Source organism: Homo sapiens, chromosome 10, assembly GCF_000001405.40.
Source record: "Homo sapiens chromosome 10, GRCh38.p14 Primary Assembly".
In the NCBI taxonomy this organism is placed as follows: Eukaryota; Metazoa; Chordata; class Mammalia; order Primates; family Hominidae; genus Homo; species Homo sapiens.
In genome coordinates this window covers 68,435,809-68,455,967 of record NC_000010.11, presented here as the reverse complement: position 1 = coordinate 68,455,967, position 20,159 = coordinate 68,435,809, and the positions used below count along the sequence as shown (strand labels likewise).

The 20,159-nt window shown below is 41.0% G+C and overlaps 1 protein-coding gene across 5 annotated transcripts in view, besides 5 other annotated features; it reads left to right on the top strand.

Moving 5' to 3' along the window:
- Nucleotides 1-20,159, top strand: part of DNA2 (DNA replication helicase/nuclease 2) — a 58,458-nt gene that overhangs the window by 16,554 nt on the left and 21,745 nt on the right. For 4 of the 5 annotated variants that reach the window (NR_102264.2, XM_006717680.3, NM_001080449.3 and 1 more), the window contains 5 exons: nt 5,721-5,940; nt 9,555-9,672; nt 10,885-11,047; nt 12,857-13,051; nt 18,727-18,957. Coding sequence is in view for 4 of the 5 variants with exons in the window: in XM_006717680.3 (XP_006717743.1) it covers nt 5,721-5,940; nt 9,555-9,672; nt 10,885-11,047; nt 12,857-13,051; nt 18,727-18,957 (927 nt within the window). In the remaining variant the exon portion in view is untranslated. Of the gene's footprint in view, nt 1-5,720; nt 5,941-9,554; nt 9,673-10,884; nt 11,048-12,856; nt 13,052-18,726; nt 18,958-20,159 lie in introns of those variants that run through there. The other variant, XM_011539417.1, reaches the window with a different exon arrangement.
- Nucleotides 4,604-4,773: an enhancer, noted in NCBI's record as "experimental_16694 CRE fragment used in MPRA reporter constructs". NCBI's record gives its function as "activates a minimal promoter by MPRAs in K562 erythroleukemia cells, with activity observed for both the introgressed and non-introgressed 10:70211037 variant alleles {active_cell/tissue: K562}" and the evidence as "EXISTENCE:reporter gene assay evidence [ECO:0000049][PMID:34662402]".
- Nucleotides 5,310-5,479: an enhancer, noted in NCBI's record as "experimental_16686/16687 CRE fragment used in MPRA reporter constructs". NCBI's record gives its function as "activates a minimal promoter by MPRAs in K562 erythroleukemia cells, with activity observed for the non-introgressed 10:70210331 or rs1554907764 variant allele {active_cell/tissue: K562}" and the evidence as "EXISTENCE:reporter gene assay evidence [ECO:0000049][PMID:34662402]".
- Nucleotides 5,393-5,394: a transcriptional cis regulatory region, noted in NCBI's record as "Neanderthal adaptively introgressed variant 10:70210331 (GRCh37/hg19 assembly coordinates) or rs1554907764 in the experimental_16686/16687 CRE". NCBI's record gives its function as "modulates activity of the experimental_16686/16687 enhancer by MPRAs in K562 erythroleukemia cells {active_cell/tissue: K562}" and the evidence as "EXISTENCE:reporter gene assay evidence [ECO:0000049][PMID:34662402]".
- Nucleotides 8,323-8,492: an enhancer, noted in NCBI's record as "experimental_16683 CRE fragment used in MPRA reporter constructs". NCBI's record gives its function as "activates a minimal promoter by MPRAs in K562 erythroleukemia cells, with activity observed for both the introgressed and non-introgressed 10:70207318 variant alleles {active_cell/tissue: K562}" and the evidence as "EXISTENCE:reporter gene assay evidence [ECO:0000049][PMID:34662402]".
- Nucleotides 18,078-18,247: an enhancer, noted in NCBI's record as "experimental_16674 CRE fragment used in MPRA reporter constructs". NCBI's record gives its function as "activates a minimal promoter by MPRAs in K562 erythroleukemia cells, with activity observed for both the introgressed and non-introgressed 10:70197563 variant alleles {active_cell/tissue: K562}" and the evidence as "EXISTENCE:reporter gene assay evidence [ECO:0000049][PMID:34662402]".

Sequence of the window (20,159 nt, the reverse complement as noted above, 5' to 3'; positions counted from 1 at the left end):
AGGGTTACAGGCGTGAGCCACCATGCCTGGCCCTCTAATGGGATTTTCACATGTATTTTAAAAATATTTAGTAGTTTAAAAAAAGGCTTGTCTTGCTGTTAGAGTTGAGTTTTTTGTTTGTTTGTTTGTTTGTTTTGTTTTGTTTTTGAGATGGAGTCTCGCTCTGTCGCTCAGGCTGAAGTACAGTGGTGCAATCTTGGCTCACTGCAACCTCTGCTTCCTGGGTTCAAATGATTCTTGTGACACAGCCCCCTGAGTAGCTGGGACTATAGGCATGAGCCACCACGCCTGGCTAATTTTTGTATTTTTAGTAGAGGCGAGGTTTCACCATGTTGGCCAGGCTGGTCTCGAACTCCTGACCTCAAGTGATCCACCCACCTCAGCCTCCCAAAGTGTTGGGATTACAGGCATGAGCCACTGCGCCCGGCTGAGTTTGTTTTTTATATTTTTTATTTCTGTAGTGGTCATAAATTTGCCACCAGCTCCCTACACTAAGAAAAAAGCTAGAGTGAATAGATTGTTTAGTTTTTCTTGTGTTTTAAAAATAAATTTATAAATGTTTCATTTTTTGTTATTTCTTTGGAACAGACTGACATAGGGGTTGGATATTGGGCTTCACTGTGATAAACTGTGTTTATCAAGTAGTCATCCTTCACCTAGTTCCTTGCTTTGCTTTATAACATTCTGGTCTCTGTGAATGTTCTGTAACACTAAGAAAGTTAATTTTATCGGCCTGGCGTGATGGCTAATGCCTGTAATCCCATCACTTTGGGTGGCTGAGGTGGGCAGATCATGAGGTCAGGAGTTTGAGACCAGCCTGGCCAAGATGGTGAAACCCCGTCTCTACTAAAAATATAAAAATTGGCCAGGCATGGTGGCGGATGCCTGTAAATCCCAGCTACTCGGGAGGCTGAGGCAGGAGAATCGCTTGAACCCAGGAGGCAGAGGTTGCAGTGAGCTGAGTTCATGCCACTGCACTCTAGCCTGGGTGACAGAGCAAGATTCCATCTCAAAAAAAAAAAAAAAATCCTAATTTTATCTTCAACTGCTCCTAATTATTTATCCTCATTTACCCTCCTTCCTCCTCCCTCCTTTTTTCCCCCTCCTTCCTCCTTTATTTCTTTTTGTCATTTACATTTGCTTGAAATTTATTATTTTTTTTGAGATGGAGCCTTGCTCTGTCACCTAGTCTGGAGTGCAGTGGCGCAATCTCGGCTCACTACAACCTCCGCCTCCCAGGTTCAAGCGATTCTTCTGCCTCAGCCTCCTGAGTAGCTGGGATTACAGGCGCCTGCCACCATGCCTGGCTAATTTTTGCATTTTTAGTAGAGACGGAGTTTCACCATGCTGACCAGGCTGGTCTCAAACTTCTGACCTTAGGTGATCCACCCACCTCACCCTCCCAAAGTGCTGGGATTACAGGTGTGAGCCACTGCGCCCAGCTGCTTGACATTTTAAATTACGGTAGATATCTATTTTTGTAGTTTTTTTGGACATAAGCTTTTCTTTTACTTTTTGTTAATTGTTTTAGCATCCTGTCTGCATGTTTGCTTGTTTGTTTGTTTGTTTTCCTTTGGTGGAGTCTTAACCCAAATGTGTTTTTTTTTTTTTGGTTAAAATTAACCCATTGTTTTTACAATGATAAGCATGATTCTCAGAATCCTGGGTTAATAAATTCTGCAAACATTTATTCAATGCTATATGTGTGCCAAGGATTATACCAGGTACTGTTGTTACAGGGATAACTAAAGCCCTCAGGAACTCAGTGTATTGGTGGTAGATGAAAATAATAAAAGTGAAGAGGTTTGCTGGTGGATAAAATGTGGGTGACAAAAGCAGCATGGGACCCTGGCAGTTAACAGCATATAAGGCATAGAAGGAGATAATAGAATCTGTTGAAGAAGGCTTAGGATAGGTCAGCAAGGGATTTGCATCCTGGAAGAAGGGCATCACAGATGCTAAGGAAAGAGTGTGGAATTCAGACTCATCTTTGACCTGCAAGGAATCTTTGAAATCAAATCCCACATTTTTTTGTCAAAACACAAACTTATATACATTTTATATACAATGCACTCATGCTAGCTTAATGATGGGGATATGTTTTGAGAAATGTGGTGTTAGGCAATGTCATCATTGTGTGAACATCAGAGTGTACTTGTGCAAACCTAGATGGTAGAGCGCCTACTACACACCTAGGCCGTATGGTATAGCCCGTTGCCTCTAGGCTACACACTTGTACTACATGTTACTGTACTGAATACTGTAGGCAATTGTAACAACGGTAAGTATTTGTCTATCTAAACATATTGAAATATAGAAAAGGTAGTGTGTTGTATTACCACAATAGCTAGATGTCACTAGGCAATGGAATTTTTTAGTTCCATTATAATCTTATGGGACCACTATCCTAGGTTGACGAAATCATTGTTATACAATGGATGACTGTATATATAATTTTTCAAGTCACACAGAACTTTTACTGAAATAGATTATGCATTATGCCATAAGGGAAACACCAATAAATTTTAAAGGATCAGTATCTTAGAAACGATGTTCCGCAACTGTACTGTAACAAAGTTAGAACTTAAAAGGATATCTAAAATTCTCATGGTTTGTAGACTAAGGAAATGTTGATAAATGTTTTAAAAGGTCAGTCATAAAGGAAATTAACACATTTAGAAAAGGTGGTTACATACCAAATTTTGTAGACTATAGCTAAAGTAGTACTTAGAAATTAATTTTTGTTGCCATTTAAAAAAATTGTGGTGGCTGGGTGTGGTGGCTCACGCCTGTAATCCCAGCACTTTGGGAGGCTGAGATGGATGGATCACCTGAGGTCAGGAGTTAGAGACAGCCTGGCCAACATGGTGAAACCCTATCTCTACTAAAAAATACAAAAATTAGCCAGGCGTGGTGGTGCACGCTTGTAATCCCAGCTACTCGGGAGCCTGAAATGGGAGAGTTGCTTGAACCCGGGAGGTGGAAGTTGCAGTGAGCCGAGATTGCACCACTATACTCCAGCCTCTGCGACAGAGCGAGATTCCATCTCAAAAAAAAAAAAAATTGTGGTAATAAACATATAGTGGCCGCGCATGGTGGCTCATAACTGTAATCCCAGCACTTTGGGAGGCGAAAGCAGGAGGATTGCTTGAGACCAGGAGTTCGAGATCAGCCTGGGAAACATGGTGAGAACTTGTCCCTACAAAAAAAAAAAAAAAAAAAAAAAAAAATAGCTGGGCGTAATGGCAGATGCCTGTAGTTTCAGCTACTTGAAAGGCTGAGGCGGGAGGATCTCTTGAGCCCAGGAGGTCGAAGCTGCAGTAAACTGTGTTCGTGCTACTGCATTCCAGCCTGGGTGACAGAGTGAGACTCTGTCTCAGAATAATAATAATAATAATAAAGCCACATTGCTTCTTTTTCCAGGGCATTGAATTTTAGTAACAACTTTAAAAGTTTTTTTAACCTGTATTCTATTAGGTATACATGTGACATTTCATAAATAATAAGTTTTGCCTAATTTAATAAAAGCATATCTGAATACACACCGTGAACAAGTAACAGTTGGTGAGAGAATATAAATATTTAAGAAATTTCAGACCCAGTGCAGTGGATCTTGCTTGTAATTCCAGCACTTTGGGAGATCAAGACAAGAGGATTGGTTGAGTTCACCATGTTGCCCCACCTTTTGTAGACTCTGTCTCTGCAAATTTGAAAATAATTAGTGGGGTGTGGTGGTGCACACCTCTCATCCCAGCTACTTGGGAGGCTGAAACAGAAGGATTGCTTGAGCCCAGGAGGTCAAGGCTGCAGTGAGCCGTGTTCATGCCACTGCACTCTACCCCGGGCAACAGAGAGAGACCCTGTCTCACTAAGAAAGAAAGAAAAAGAAATTTTAGATAAATTATGGCTTCTCTGAATTGCACTACTGTCTTCTTCAACTATTCTGGAAGGATACATATCTTCCATGAGATTATATTTGAAGCATCTTGGAATAGTTTTTTTTTTATAAAAAATTATTTAAGACAGCATTTTTTTTTCTTAGAAAATATTCTCATTTGTTAAAAAAATTGCTGTCCATGGCCAGGTGTGGTGGCTCACTCCTGTAATCCAGCACTCTGGGAGGCCAAAGCAGGTGGATCACTTGAGGTCAGGAATTTGAGACCAGCCAGGACAACATGGCAAAAGCCTGTCTCTATTAAAAAAAAAAAGGAAGAAATAGCTGTCCAAAAAAAGAAATAGGGGTTGACCATAATAATATGAACTAAACAAAAATCAACTAAATAATCTATTCTAACCACTAGAATTATTCTATTTTTAAAAATCTTCATTTTGATAGGAAATGTTTTATTACTAGAAAAGTCATCTTTTTTTATGTAAGATTTCCACTAGATTTAGTATTTTATGTGGCTGGCTTTGAATCTAAAAGTGTAAAATATTTTCCCAGTAGATAGGATTAATAAGAGGTAACTCTTATCTTTCTGCAGAATAACCGTAACTGCTCTGAAAATGAGTAAATCTTAGATAAGAGAGGAGGTTTGTAAGTTATTTCCACCTCTTCTCGTTCCTTCAACATTTATATGTTCCCTTTTTTTCTCCTTTCTGTGCTCATGGGTTATTTACCAATTAAGAGATTAAAGTCAGAACCTCTTTTATAAAAAAAAAATTGAGTACTTACTTTAAATATTGATAGTGGGAGACATGGTTTCATTTAGTTATTAAGTAAAGAAAATGGAACACTTGGAAGTGACCATGAGCTCCTTTGAAGCTTTGAAGATTGTCACCTGGGGATGTGTGAATGAAGTGTTGGGTGAATGAGCCCCAGACTTCATAGATGATGGAGATAGCTCTTCTTTTTTTTTTTTTTTTTTTTTAGACAGTCTTGTTCTGTCACTCAGGTTGTAGTGCAGTGGCACGATCTTGGCTCACTGCAACCTCCGCCTCCTGGGTTCAAGCAATTCTCCTGCCTTAGCCTTTGGGTAGCTGGGATTACAGGCATGTGCCACCCTTCCCGGCTAATTCTTGTATTTTTTTAATTGAGACAGGGTTTCGCCATGTTGGCCAGGCTGGTCTTGAACTCCTGAACTCAAGTGATCTGCTTGCCTTAGCATGAGCCACTAGGCCTAGCAGACAGCTCATTCTTAATCAGTGTAATCTAGTGTTATGTGAAGGAATACATCTTTCATTGCTTAGGGCGCAACCACATGCAAGCCATTACATACTAATTTGCGTAATAATTGTATATCAAAATACTCAGATTGGAATTGTGGCTCTAGCAATTTAAGTAGCAAAACTGTTGTAATCTAGGCCTGAGAAAATAAGGGCCTGAGTTAAGAAGATTATAGTAGGAATGACTGAAAGGAACAGATGATAAATACCAAGAAAGACTAAATTCCATGAGCAGAGCCCGTAGAACAGTGGTTCTTAAACTTGAGCATGCATCAAAATTGTGGAGGGTTGGTTAAACAGATTGCTAGGCCTCACCCCTAGAGTTTCTGTTTGAGTAGGTTTGGAGTGGGTCTTGAGGATTTACTTTTATAGCAAGTTCTCAGGTGATGCTGATGCTACTGGTCCAGGGACCAAGTTTGAAAATCACTGCTGTAAAGGTAGGTAGACTCTTTCCCCTCCCCACATTCTCTGTGTGTAATAGGCAGTCAGAGCCAGCAGATGTGAAATGAGCTAAGAGTTCTAATTAAGTGTTTTTGTGCTTTTTTTTTTTTCAGGCCAAGTGATAATAGTAAGGATAATTCAACATGTAACATTGAAGTCGTGAAACCAATGGATATTGAAGAAAGCATTTGGTCCCCTAGGTTTGGATTGAAAGGCAAAATAGATGTTACAGTTGGTGTGAAAATACATCGAGGGTATAAAACAAAATACAAGATAATGCCGCTGGAACTTAAAACTGGCAAAGAATCAAATTCTATTGAACACCGTAGTCAGGTATAAATGTTAATAAGAAAATTGTCTGTTTTATACTTTTTTTTTTTTTTTTTTGAGACAGAGTCTTGTTCTGTCTCCCAGGCTGGAGAGCAGTGGCGTGGTCTTGGCTCACTGAAAGCTCCGCCTCCTGGGTTCATGCCAGGCTGGAGTGCAATGGTGTGATCTCAGCTCATTGTAATCTCTGCCTCTCGGGTTCAAGCGATTCTCCTGCCTCAGCCTCCTGAGTAGCTGGGATTACAGGCCCTCACCATCATGCCCAGCTAATTTTTTGTATTTTTAGTAGAGACAGGTTTCACTATGTTGGCCAGGCTGGTCTGACCTCGTGATCTGCCTTCCTCAGCCTCCCAAAGTGCTGGGATTACAGGCATGAGCCACTGAGCCCGGCCTTATGCCTGACTAATTTTTGTATTTTTTGTAGAAATTGAGTTTTGCCATGTTGCCCAGCCTGGTCTCGAACTCGCGACCTCACCTGATACTCCCACCTCGGCCTCCCAAAGTGCTGGAATTACAGGTGTGAGCCACTTGCACCCAGCCTTTTGCTATTAATTGTGTACGAAATATTGAAGGTTTTCACAAGAGCTTTACATTTGGGAATGAAAAGTAGGGTAACTTTGTTTCACCTATTATTAGGTTTTCTGTAGATGTTGGAAGTGGAAGAAAAAATGTTTCCCCTTTTTAAAGACTTGAACTTTTTACTTTAATAATACAGAAATAACTGAAATTACAAACTTAAATACTTGGCTAAATTATAACCCTCTGGAGGAAGGAACATTATGTCAATAGAAGAAAGGCTTGTTTTTGAAGTCAAAGGTCAGAAGGAATGTGTTTTGTGTATATGAGACTGAAAATTTTTAATTGATTTTTAAAATCACAAGTTTGAATGAAATCACTTTATAATGCTAAACAGGAGAGAAATATAAAAGCATTTCAGGCCAGCACAGTGGCTCACGCCTGTAATCCCAGCACTTTGGGAGGCCGAGGTGGGTGGATCACTTGAGGTCGGGAGTTTGAGACCAGCCTGGCCAACATGGTGAAACTACTACACACACACACACACACGCACACACACACACACACACACACACACACACACACCTGGTGTGGTGGCACATGCCTGTAGTCCCAGCTACTCGGGAGGCTGAGAATTGCTCAAACCAGGGAGGCAGAGGTTGTAGTGAGCTGAGATCACGCCACTGCACCCCAGCCGGGGTGACAGAGCCAGACTCCATCTCAAAAATAAATAAATAAATAAAAGCATTTCAATATCTTAAGTGATCTGGATTCCAAGATCTTTTTCCATTGAGATTGTTGCTCTAATTCACCATTGCTTCAAGGCAAAGAATATTACTGTATTTAATTTTGTTCAATTGGAGATTTTATTTTTGCAAGAAGTGCAAGAAAATTTTAAGAATAAAGTAGTAATTCTTGTATTGAAAAAAATGAGGAAATTTGCTAGAACAAGGCTTAAAAAAAGTTGGAATTTATATTGCATATTATGCACGAGACAAGACATTGAAAAATTAATTATGGTAGTTCATTATTATGTTGGGTATGAGGAAAAAAATGTTTCCCTACTTAAAAGATTTGACTTTTTAATTTTGATAATAAAAGGTTTAAGAAAGTTTTTTTTAGATGGGGTCTTGCTATATTGACTTACAGCTAAAGCTGTTACATGAGCTAAAAGGACTATTTTTAACTTGTCTTAGATGGTTTCTCCGAAGAATTTCATGAAACCTAAGGTGGTTAATGACATTTCATGCTCTGGAGAAACAAACTGTAGAGTTAGTATTATTTGTCACAGTAGCTATCATGTAAATGATAATCATTTTTGTTTTGGATCATTTATTTTAAATGGAGAAAATAGTCTCTACAGACTGTTAACTTCAAAATGTAAATCATAGTTTGATTAATTTCCTTCTTCAATTTATTGGATATCTAAATATTTGCTTTCTAAGAAAATTCTCTATAGAATTCTTGGTTATCTAAGTAAAACTGAGAAGCATGAACTATGTTTGTTTTGTGTAAATTAAATTTTTTTTTTTTTTTGAGACGGAGTCTCACTGTCACCCAGGCTAGAGTGCAGTGGCGCGATCTCGGCTCACTGCAAGCTCTGCCTCCTGGGTTCATGCCATTCTCCTGCCTCAGCCTCCCGAGTAGCTGGGACTACAGGCGCCCACCACCACGCCCGGCTAATTTTTTTGTATTTTTAGTAGAGACGGGGTTTCACCTTATTAGCCAGGATGGTCTCGATCTCCTGACCTCATGATCCGCCCGCCTCGGCCTCCCAAAGTGCTGGGATTACAGGCGTGAACCACTGCGCCCGGCCTTTTTTTTTTATTTTAAGACAGTCTCCCTCTGTTACCTGGGCTGGAATGTAGTGGCACGGTCTTGGCTCACTGCAGCCTTTACTTCCCAGGGTCAATCAATCCTCCCATCTCAGCCTCCTGAGTAGCTGGGACTATGGACGCACATCACCATGCCTGGCTAATTTTTTTTTTTTTTTTTTTTTTTGAGGTGAAGTCTCCTTCTGTCCCCCAGGCTGGAGTCCAGTGGCACGATTTCGACTCAGTGCAACCTCCACCTCCCGGGTTCAAGCAATTCTCCTGCCTTAGCCTCTCAAGTAGCTGGATTACAAGCATGTGCCATCACACCCGGCTAATTTTTGTATTTTTAGTAGAGACAGGGTTTCACTATGTTGGCCAGGCTGGTCTCGAACTCCTGACCTCAAGTAATCTGCCCACGTTGGCCTTCCAAAGTGCTGGGAGTATAGTCATGAGCCACCACGCCCAGCCGTGCCCGGGTAATTTTTAACTTTTTTTACATACATGTCTTTTTGTAGAAATGGGGATCTCACTACGTTTTTGTTTTTATGCTTTTAAATTTTTGTGGGTACTTAGTAGGTGTATACGTTCATGGATTACATGAGATATTTTAATATAGGCATGCAATACGTAATAATCATAACATAGTAAATGCGGTATCCATCCCCTCAAACATTTATTATTTGTGTTACAAATAACCCAGTTATACTCCTTTAGTGATTTTAAAATGCACAGCTAAATTATTTTTGACTATAGTCACTTTGTTGTGCTAGCAAATACTGTCTTATTCATTACTCTTTTTTTTTGTTTCTTGATACCCATTAACCATCCCCACTTCTCCCCCCGCACCACCCTCACTATTGTTCCCAGCCTCTGGTAACCAACCTTCTACTATCTGTCTCCATGAATTCAATTGTTTTAATTTTTTGCTCCCACAAGTAAGTGAGAACATACAAAGTTTTCTGTGTCTGGCTTTTTTTGCTTAACATAATGACTATCACTTGGTCTCACTATATTGCCCAGGCTGGTCTCAAACTCCTGGGCTCAAGCGATCTGCCTGCCTTGGCCTCCCAAAGTGTTGGGATTGCAGGCCTGAGCCACCATGCCTGGCCTAGATTAAATGTTTGACATCAAATTTGTTGTGTTATCTTTACCAATTTGGCTCATGTTACTTATTAAATAGAAATAACTTTATTGATCTTTTGAGTTTAAAATTATGTGTTGGTTGCAAGACAATGTAAGGAAATACAAGAAGTTATAGTTTTGTTTGAGCAAATGTCAATGTTTGCACAGGTTGTTCTGTACACTCTACTAAGCCAAGAGAGAAGAGCTGATCCAGAGGCTGGCTTGCTTCTCTACCTCAAGACTGGTCAGATGTACCCTGTGCCTGCCAACCATCTAGATAAAAGAGGTTGAGCCGTTTTTTTTTTAGTTTTACTTCTTTGCCCACCCCCCCACTTCAGCTTCTAGTGATACATATTTATACCTGACAATCTACTCACAGCACTTAATAGGTTATAATTTGTAGCTGTGGGTTTTTTTTGTTGTTGTTTTTTATGTGTGTGTTTTTGTTTTCGTTTTTTGAGATAGAGTCTCACTCTGTTGCCCAGGCTGGAGTGAAGTGGCACAATCTTGGTTCATTGCAACCTCCACCTTCTGGGTTGAATCGATTCTCCTGCCTCAGTCTCCTGAGTAGCTAGGATTACAGGCATGTGCCACCATGCCTGGCTAGTTTTACTTTTAGTAGAGATGGGGTTTCGCCATGTTGGCCAGGCTGGTCTTGAACTCTTGGCCTCAAGAGATCTGCCCGCCTTGGTCTCTGAAAGTGCTGGGATTACAGGCATGAGCCACTGTACCTGGCCAATTGTGGTTTTTTTTAAAAGAATTTTAATAATATACTCTATAGTTGAAAACATTATTAATCTTTTAAAATTTTATTATGCAAAACTTTATTTCAAACTTTCTATTTTATATTAAAGATATTCTAGATAGCTGTATTTATCTTCAGTATTCAGCTAATACCAACTTCACAATGCTTACTAGTTACGAAATATATAGTTTAAAGAATTTATCAAGTGAACAGAAACTTAAAGGAAATGTACCAAAATGTTGTTATTCTAGTATAGTGGGAAATATGAATACCAAAATGTTGTTATTCTAGTATAGTGGGAAATATGAATACTGTTTTCTCCGTTTTAAAATGTTTTTATTTTTATTTTATTTATTTATTTATTTATTTTTTTGAGACCGAGTTTCGCTCTTGTTACCCAGGCTGGAGTGCAATGATGCGATCTCAGCTCCCTGCAATCTCCGCCTCCCAGGTTCAGGTGATTCTCCTGCCTCAGCCTCCTGATTAGCTGTAATACAGTCATGCGCCACCAATCCCAGCTAATTATGTATTTTTAGTAGAGACGGGGTTTCACCGTGTTGGTTAGGCTAGTCTTGAACCCCTGACCTCAGGTGATCCGCCCACCTCAGCCTCCCCAAGTGTTGGGATTACAGGCGTAAGCCATTGTGCCCGGCCCTAAAATGTTTTTAAATCTGCAAGTTTTACATATGTAGTGAAAAAGACATGATAAACTTTATTTAACTCTTAAAAAGACATTCACCTTTTTTTTCATAGAATTATTAAAGCTAAGAAACCAGATGGCATTCTCATTGTTTCACCGTATTAGCAAATCTGCTACTAGACAGAAGACACAGCTTGCTTCTTTGCCACAAATAATTGAGGAAGAGAAAACTTGTAAATATTGTTCACAAATTGGCAATTGTGCTCTTTATAGCAGGTAAATATTGTCTACCAAAGGCATTATTTCTAGTTGAGTATGAACTCAACTAAATACGTTTAACACTGGTGGCCAGACGGGCATTGATAACATCATTTTAGTTATTTTTCCTTTATATTTTCCTTCGTATTATTTCTAAAATTAAGATAATAGAAAAAAAACCACAGTACTTTCTTTCTTTTTTTTTTTTTTTTTGAGACGGACTTTTTGCTCTTGTGGCCCAGGCTGGAGTGCAATGGTGCAATCTCGGCTCACCACAACCTCTGCCTCTTGGGTTCAAGCGATTCTCCTGCCTCAGCCTCCCAAGTAGCTGGGATTACAGCCATGTGCTACCATTCCCGGCTAATTTTGTATTTTTAGTAGAGAAGAGGTTTCACCGTGTTGGTCAGGCTGGTCTCCAACTCCCGAACTCAGGTGATCTGACCATCTCAGTCTCCCGAAGTGTTGGGATTACAGGCGTGAGCCACCGCGCCCAGCTAATTTTTTGTATTTTTATTTATTTATTTGTATTTTATTTATTTATTTATTTTTTTGAGACAGTCTCACTCTGTCACTAGGGCTGGAGTGCGGTGGCATGATCTCGGCTCACTGCAACCTCCGCCTCCCTAGTTCAAGCGATTCTCCTGCCTCAGCTTCCCGAATAGCTGGGACTACAGGCGCTCGCCACCGCACCCAGCTAATTTTTGTATTTTTAGTAGAGACAGGGTTTCACCATGTTGGCCAGGATGGTCTCGATCTCTTGACCTCGTGATCCGCCCACCTCGGCCTCCCAAAGTGCTGGGATTACAGGCATGAACCACTGCGCCCAGCAATTTTTTGTGTTTTTAATACAGATAGGGTTTCACCATGTTGGCCAGGCTGGTCTTGAACTCCTGACCTCAAGTGATCTGCCTGTCTTGGCCTCCCAAAGTGCTGGGATTATAGGCTTGAGCCACTGCACTATGCCGAAATACTTTTTTTCTTTTTTTTTGAGACAGAGTCTTGCTTTGTTGCCTGGGCTGGAGTGCAGTGGTGCAATCTTGGCTCACTGCAACCTCCACCTCCTGGGTTCAAGCAATTCTCCTGCCTCAGCCTCTCGAGTAGCTGGGACTACAGGCATCCGCCACCACACCTGGCTAAGTTTTTGTATTTTAGTAGAGACGGGATTTCACCGTGTGTTGCCCAGGCTGGTCTCGAACTCCTGAGCTCAGTCAATCCACCCGCCTTGGCCTCCCAAAATGCTAGAATTATAGGCATGAGCCTCTGCACTCGGCCTCATATAAATACTTTTTAAGGTATTTTTTCAAGGGATCTCTTAATGGCAGAGGACTGTGAACCGTAGGAAGTCTGGGCATATTTCTTTGAAATCTTATGTTTATCGTCAGTGTTTGGTATGCTGTCCTATAGCATGTTTGTTTCTATAGAAAATATTTTAATCTGGTATTAAGCAAAATCCAAATGATTCTCTGTGTTTTTATGTGTACTTACGTCACTGAGCTGGGTGTACAAATATTGTGATTTTTGAGAAATGAAGTTGTATTAAAAGCCAAAACTTGTTGCATATGGGAATGAAGATTAGGGTTTACCCAACCTGAGTTGTTTGGGGGATAGTCGCTGAAGGCAAAATAATGCAGTATTGAGTTTCTCACACATTTGGTTTTATAAAAAGCCATATGGCTTATGTTTAAATGACTTTTAAGGAACATTAGGGGCTGTGGTTATGAGTTATGATGATGATCATATATGTGTTCTTATTTTGGAATTATCTCACTTCGTACCCAGCCAGGGAAATGGTTTATAAGCATCTCTAACTTGGAACTTTATATTTAGAGCAGTTGAACAACAGATGGATTGTAGTTCAGTCCCAATTGTGATGCTGCCCAAAATAGAAGAAGAAACCCAGCATCTGAAGCAAACACACTTAGAATATTTCAGCCTTTGGTGTCTAATGTTAACCCTGGAGTCACAATCGAAGGATAATAAAAAGAATCACCAAAATATCTGGCTAATGCCTGCTTCGGAAATGTAAGTGGTCCATTTAGTACAGTAAGATTTCAGTAGTTTGGATTAGTGAATGAGGTGGCCTTTGGAATTTATGACAAATACAAGTTATGAAGCATGTTATAGATAACGTGATTTCATTTATTCATGACAACTGCAGATGGCTCTCTATTGTTTCTAAGAAGAGCACCATTCCTGTGTATCCTATGTGCTGCAATCATTGCTAGTTAGTAATATAGTTTCAGTAGACTAAATATACCTCAAGAAATCTTGTTTTAAAAATTACTTTTCTTTGGGAGGCCGAGGTGGGTGGATCACCTGAGGTCAAGAGTTTGAGACCAGCCTGGCCAACATGGCAAAACCCCGTCTTTACTAAAAATACAAAAATTAGCTGGGCGTGGTGGCGGGTGCCTGTAATCCCAGCTACTTGGGAGACTGAGGCAGGAGAATCGCTTGAACCTGGGAGGCGGAGGCTGCAGTCAACCAAGATCCTGCCATTGCACTCCAGCCTGGGCAACAAGAGCAAAACTGTCACAAAAAAACAAAAACAAAAAATTAGCCGGGCGTGGTGGCAGGCGCCTTTAATCCCAGCTACTCAGGAGACTGAGGCAGGAGAATTGCTGGAACCCGGGAGGTGGAGGTTACAGTAAGCCAACATCGCACCACTGCACTTCAACCTGGGTGACAGAGCGAGACTCTGTCTCAAAAAAAAAAAAAAAATTACTTTTGTCAGGGCGTCGGGTCATGCCTGTAATCCCAGCACTTTGGGATGCCGAAGCAGGTGGATCACTTCAGCTCACCAGTTTGAGACCCGCCTGGGCAACATGGCAAAACCCTGTCTCTACAAAAAATACAAAAATTACCTAGGTGTGGTCGTGCATGTCTGTAGTCCCAGGATGAGGTGGGAGGATGGCTTGAGCCAGAGGTGAAGGTTGCAGTGAGCTGAGATCACACCACTGCACTCCAGCCTGGGTGATAGAGCCAGACCTTGACTCAAAAAAAAAAAATTATTTTAAATCCTGTTAAAAATTTTCAGTATACACTTTTTCATCGGTGATAACATTATAAACTTGAGTATATCTTAAAGTAAATTGTTGTATATATTGGTATAATGCAAATTAATGTGGTATTTACTGGATTTTTTAAATACTCGCTTTTTTCTTTTTGAGATGGAATCTCACTCTGTCACCCAGGCTGGAGTGCAGTGGCATGTTGTCAGCTCACTGCAATCTCTGCTGTCTGGATTCAAGCTATTCTCCTGCCTCGGCCTTCAAGTAGCTGGGATTACAGGCGCCTGCCACTGCGCCCAGCTAATTTTTGTAGTTTTAGTAGAGACAGGGTTTCACCATCTTGGCCAGGCTGGTCTTGAACTCCTGACTTAGTGATCCACCCACCTCAGCCTCCCAAAGTGATGGGATTACAGGCGTGAGCCACCTTGCCTGGTCTAAATACTCGTATTTTAAATGTTTATATTTTCAGTAACTTTTGATACAGATGCAAATTTTCTAAAGGTCCATTTCATAGTCCTTGTGGGATTCATTTAAAAAAATAATAGTAATATGTACCTGTAAAGTTAGAATTTTTCTTTTTTTTTTTTTTTTTTTTAAGAGACAGGGTCACACTCTGCTGCCCTGACTGGAGTATAGTGGTGCAATCATGGCTCACTGTAGCCTCGAACTTCTGGGATAAAGTTCACAGTGCTCCTGCCTCAACCTCCTGAGTAGCTAGGACCATAGGTGTGCACCACCAAACTTGGCTAACTTTTTTTTTTTTAGAGATGGGGTCTTGCTATATGGCCCAGGCTGGTCTTGAACTCCTGGCCTCAAGTGATCCTCCCATCTTGACCACCCAAAGTGCTGGTATTACAGCTGCGAGCCACTGTGCCATGGCTAATTTTTTTGTTTTATTTTATTTTACGTGATTATAGAAACAGGGTCTTGCTATGTTGCCCAGCATAGTCTTAAATTCCTGAGCTCAAGTGATCCTCCCACTTTGGCCTCCCAAAGTGTTGAGATTATAGGTATAAGCCACTATGCCTGGCCTAGAATTTATCTTTGCGTAGTATTTTTCTTTATGTAAAATTTCATTGCTTTAGCTTCATTTTTTCTTTGCAGAATGAGTATTAATGATGTGACTTTAGAAATAATTGGATTATTATTTCCCTAATATTAGACTTTAACACAAGGAAACATTGCAGTGGAGAAAGTTTATGTAATTGTGGATAGACTGCGTATGTGTAGTGAGTATACTATACATATGTAAAATTTAATTGCTTTCATTTTTTTAATCTCAGGCCTTTTGTAGTATGTGAAACTTTTTTTTTTTTAGACAAAGTCTTGCTCTGGGCTGGGCAAGGTGGCTCACGCCTGTAATCCCAGCACTTTGGGAGGCCAAGGAGGGTGGATCACGAGGTCAGGATATTGAGACCATGCTGGCTAACACAATGAAACCGCATCTCTACTAAAAATACAAAATATTAGCTGGGCATGGTGGCAGGTGCCTGTAGTCCCAGCTACTCCCAAGGCTGAGGCAGGAGAATCCCATGAACCCGGGAGGCAGAGCTTACAGTCAGCCAAGATTGTGCCACTATACTCCAGCCTAGTCAACAGAGAGACTCCGTCTCAAAAAAATAAATAAATAAATAAAAAATAAAAAAGTCTTACTCTGTTACCCAGGCTGGAGTGTCTTGACCCACTGCAACCTCTGCCTCCTGGGTTCCAGTAATTCTCATGCCTCAGCCTCCCAAGAAGCTGGGTTTACAGGCACGTGCCACCACACCCAGCTAATTTTTGTATTTTTAGTAGAGACGGGGTTTTGCCATGTTGGCCAGGCTAGTCTGGAACTCCTGGCCTCAAGCAGTCCACCCACCTCAGCCTCCCAAAATGCTGGGATTATAGGTGTGAGCCACTGCACCCAGCCAAAAAAATTTTTTTTTTTGAGATGGAATCTTGCTCAGTCGCCCAGGCTGGAGTGCAGTGGCACGATCTCAGCTCATGCAACCTCTGCCTCCCGGGTTCAAGCGATTCTCCTGCCTCAGCCTCCTGAGTAGCTGGGACTACAGGTGCGTGCCACCATGCTCAGCTAATTTTTTTTTTTTTTTTTGAGACAGAATTTCCCTCTTGTTGCTCAGGCTGGAGTGCAATGGCACAATCTTGGCTCACTGAAACCTCCTCTTCCTGAATTCAAGTGATTCTCTTGCCTCAGCCTCCCGAGTAAACTGGGATTACAGGCATGGGCCACCACGCCAGGCTAATTTTGTACTTTTAGTAGAGACGGGGTTTCTCCATGTTGGTCAGGCTGGTCTTGAACTCCCAACCTCAGATGATCCACACGCTTCGGCCTCCCAAAGTGCTGGGATTACAGGTGTGAGCCACAGCACCTGGCTATTTTTTTGTATTTTTAGTAGAAACGGGGTTTCACCGTGTTAGCCAGGATGGTCTTGATCTCCTGATCTCGTGGTGATCCAGCTGCCTTGGCCTCCCAGAGTGCTGGGATTACAAGCGTTAGCCCCTGCACCCGGCCTCAAAAATTTTTTTTTCTTTTTTTGAGATGGAGTTTTGCTCATGTTCCCCAGGCTGGGGAGTAATCTTGCAATCTTGGCTCACCACAACCTCCGCCTCCGAGGTTCAAGTGATTCTCCTGCCTCAGCCTCCCGAGTAGCTGGGATTACAGGCATGCACCACCACACCCGGCTAATTTTGTATTTTTAGTAGGGATGGGGTTTCTTCATGTTGGTCAGGCTGGTCTTGAACTCTCAACCTCACGTGATCCGCCCACCTCAGCCTCCCAAAGTGCTGAGATTACAGGTGTGAGCCACTACACTTGGCCTCAAATGTTTTTTTATGTAAAACGTAACTTGTTTTAGTTTCATTTTTTTCTTTCCAGAATGAATTTTTTTTTTTTTTTTTTGGACAGATTCTTGCTCTGTTGCCCAGGCTGGAGTGCAATGGCATGATCTCAGCTCACTGCAACCTCCACCTCCCGGGTTCAAGTGATTCTCCTGCCTCAGCCTCCTGAATAGCTGGGATTACAGGTGCTTGCCACCATGCCTGGCTAATTTTGTATTTTTAGTAGAGATGGGGTTTCTCCATTTTGGTCAGGCTGGTCTTGAACTCCTGACCTCAGGTCATCTGCCCACCTCAGCCTCCCAAATTGCTGGGATTACAGGCATGAGCCACGGCGCCCGGCCCAGAATGAATATTAATAACATGACTTCAGAAATAATTGGATCATTTTCTTCCCTAACATTAGACTTTAACACAAGATAACATTGCTGTGGAGAAAGTTTATTTAATTGTAGTTAGACTGCATATATGTAGCGAATCTGTCATACATATATAAATACTAATAAGCTTCTGAGATTGCATGTTATTTAGTAGTGCTGCCAGAGAGATTTTAAATGGTTTTTTTTTCTTTTTTTTGAGACGGAGTTTCACTCTTGTTGCCTAGGCTGGAGTGCAATGGCGTGATCTTGGCTCACCGCAACCTCTGCCTCCCAGGTTCAAGTGATTCTCCTGCCTCTGCCTCCCGAGTAGCTGGGATGACAGGCATGTGCCACCATGCCCGGCTAATTTTGTATTTTTAGTAGAGACAGGGTTTCTCCATGTTGGTCAGGCTTGTCTCGAACTCCTGCCCTCAGATGATCTGCCTGCCTCGGCCTCCGAAAATGCTAGGGTTACAGGCGTGAGCCACCGCGCCTGGCTATAATTTTTTTTATATTGCATTTGGGAGCAGGTTATTATGGTTTGTTTTCTGTAATGGTATTATATGTATCAGCCCAAGAAGTGGGGGTATCTACCCCTCAGGGATCAAAGTGCCAATAAAACACCATTTTTGGAGATCCCAGCCTGTGGGTGCAACAAGGGTGGGGCGATCCCTAGCACTTTCTTGCAAGACTATTGTTGAGCAATTCATTTAAAACTAGTAGAGGGCCGAGCATGGTGCCTCAGGCCTGTAATCCCAGCACTTTGGGAGGCTGAGGCCAGTGGGTCACTTGAGTCCAGGGGTCCGAATCCAGCCTGGCCAACATGGTGAAACCCTGTCTCTACTAAAAATATAAAAAATTAGCTTGTCGTGGTGGTGTATGCCTGTAATCCTAGCTACTCAGGAGACTGAGGCATGAGAATCGCTTGAACAGGGTGGGGGTCGGAGGGTGTCTCAAAAAACCCCAGAAACTAAGAGAATGTTTACTTAACATTTCTAACATTTTACTGTAGGTTGTGGAAAATGTAAAAATGACAGGCTCAATATTAGTCTGTTTTGTTTTGTTTTTGTTTTTGTTTTTGTTTTTGAGAGGTGGTTTTGCTCTTGTTGTCCAGGTTGTTGAGCAATGGTGAGATCTTGGCTCACTGCAACTTTCACCTCCCGGGTTCAAGTGATTCTCCTGCCTCAGCCTCCTGAGTAGCTGGGATTACGGGCGAGCACCACCACACCTGGCTAATTTTTTATTTTTATTTTTTTTTTTTTAGTAGAGATAGGGTTTTCACCATGTTGGCCAGGCTGGTCTTGAACATCTGACCTCAGGTAATCCACCCGCCTCGGCCTCCTGGAGTGTTGGGATTACAGGCGTGAGCCACCACACCCGGCCTCAATAATAATTTTTAGGAGTCAGATGAACAAGTAAGTTGTAGGAAAATGCAGACACAATACTTACGTATGTAATATAAACAGAAGTTTTTTTCTCTTTGGTCTTTTCATAGGGAGAAGAGTGGCAGTTGCATTGGAAACCTGATTAGAATGGAACATGTAAAGATAGTTTGTGATGGGCAATATTTACATAATTTCCAATGTAAACATGGTGCCATACCTGTCACAAATCTAATGGCAGGTGACAGAGTTATTGTAAGTGGAGAAGAAAGGTCACTGTTTGCTTTGTCTAGAGGATATGTGAAGGAGATTAACATGACAACAGTAACTTGTTTATTAGACAGGTAATGAAATGTTACTTTTTTTGATAACAGCTTTATTGATATATAATTCACATCTGTGTAGTTCATCCATTTAAAATGTACAATTCGCTGGTTTTTAGTATATTCACAGCGTTGTGCAGCTATCACCACAATCAACTTTGAGTATTTTCATCACCCCAAAAAGAAACTCCCAAGGAAGAAGCCCTATACCCTTTAGTAGTCACTTTTCATTTTCCTCCAATTTCCCCAGCCCGTGGCAACCACTAACCTGCTTTCTGTCTCTGTAGATTTGCCCATTCTGGACATCTCATGTAAATGGAATCATGCAATATGTGGTCTTTGGTGACTGGGTTTTTTCACACAGCACACTGTTTTTGAAATTCATCTTCATGTTATAACATGTATCAGCATTTCATTCTTTTTATTTTAAATAAATTGAGGTAAAATTCATATAACAAAATTGATCATTAACCATTTTAATGTGTATAATTGAGTGGCGTTTAGTATATTCCCAATATTGTGCAACCATCACTTCTGTCTATTTCTAAGACACTTTTATCACCCTAAAAGGAAACCTCATTCCTATTACGCAGTCACTTCCCACTCTCTCCTCCCTGAAGTCCCTGGCAACCACTAAATTGGCTTTCTTTCTGTATGGATTCATCCATTCTGGATATATGATATAAGTGGAACCATACAATACGTGACCTTTTGTGTCTTGCTTCTTTCACTTAGCCTAATGTTTGCAAAGTTCATTCATATTTCAGCATATATGAGACCCTCATTTTTTTTATGGCTGAATATATTCTGTTGTATGGATACACCACATTTTGTTCATCCATTCACCAGCTGATGGACATTTGAGTTGTTTCCACTTTTTTGCTGTAATGATTAATATTGCTATGAACATTGACATGCATAGTTTTAGGTAGACATACTTTCATTTTCTTTGTAGTTACCTAGGCATGGGTCATGTGCTAATTTCATGTTTAACATTTTGAGGAACTACCAAACTGCTAAAGTTTTGTTTAGTACATTATGTTCCATAGTGATGATGTGGACATAATCTTATCTAATTCTTACAACCACATGTATAGCAGACAGCATAGATGCCACCCTGTGTTAGCTATAATGCTTATTTCTCCTTGCATGCTGGGCACTGACTATTTTGTTCTCTCCTTTTTTAAATAAAAATGTTTATTTTTCCCATTTATAGTTGTGAT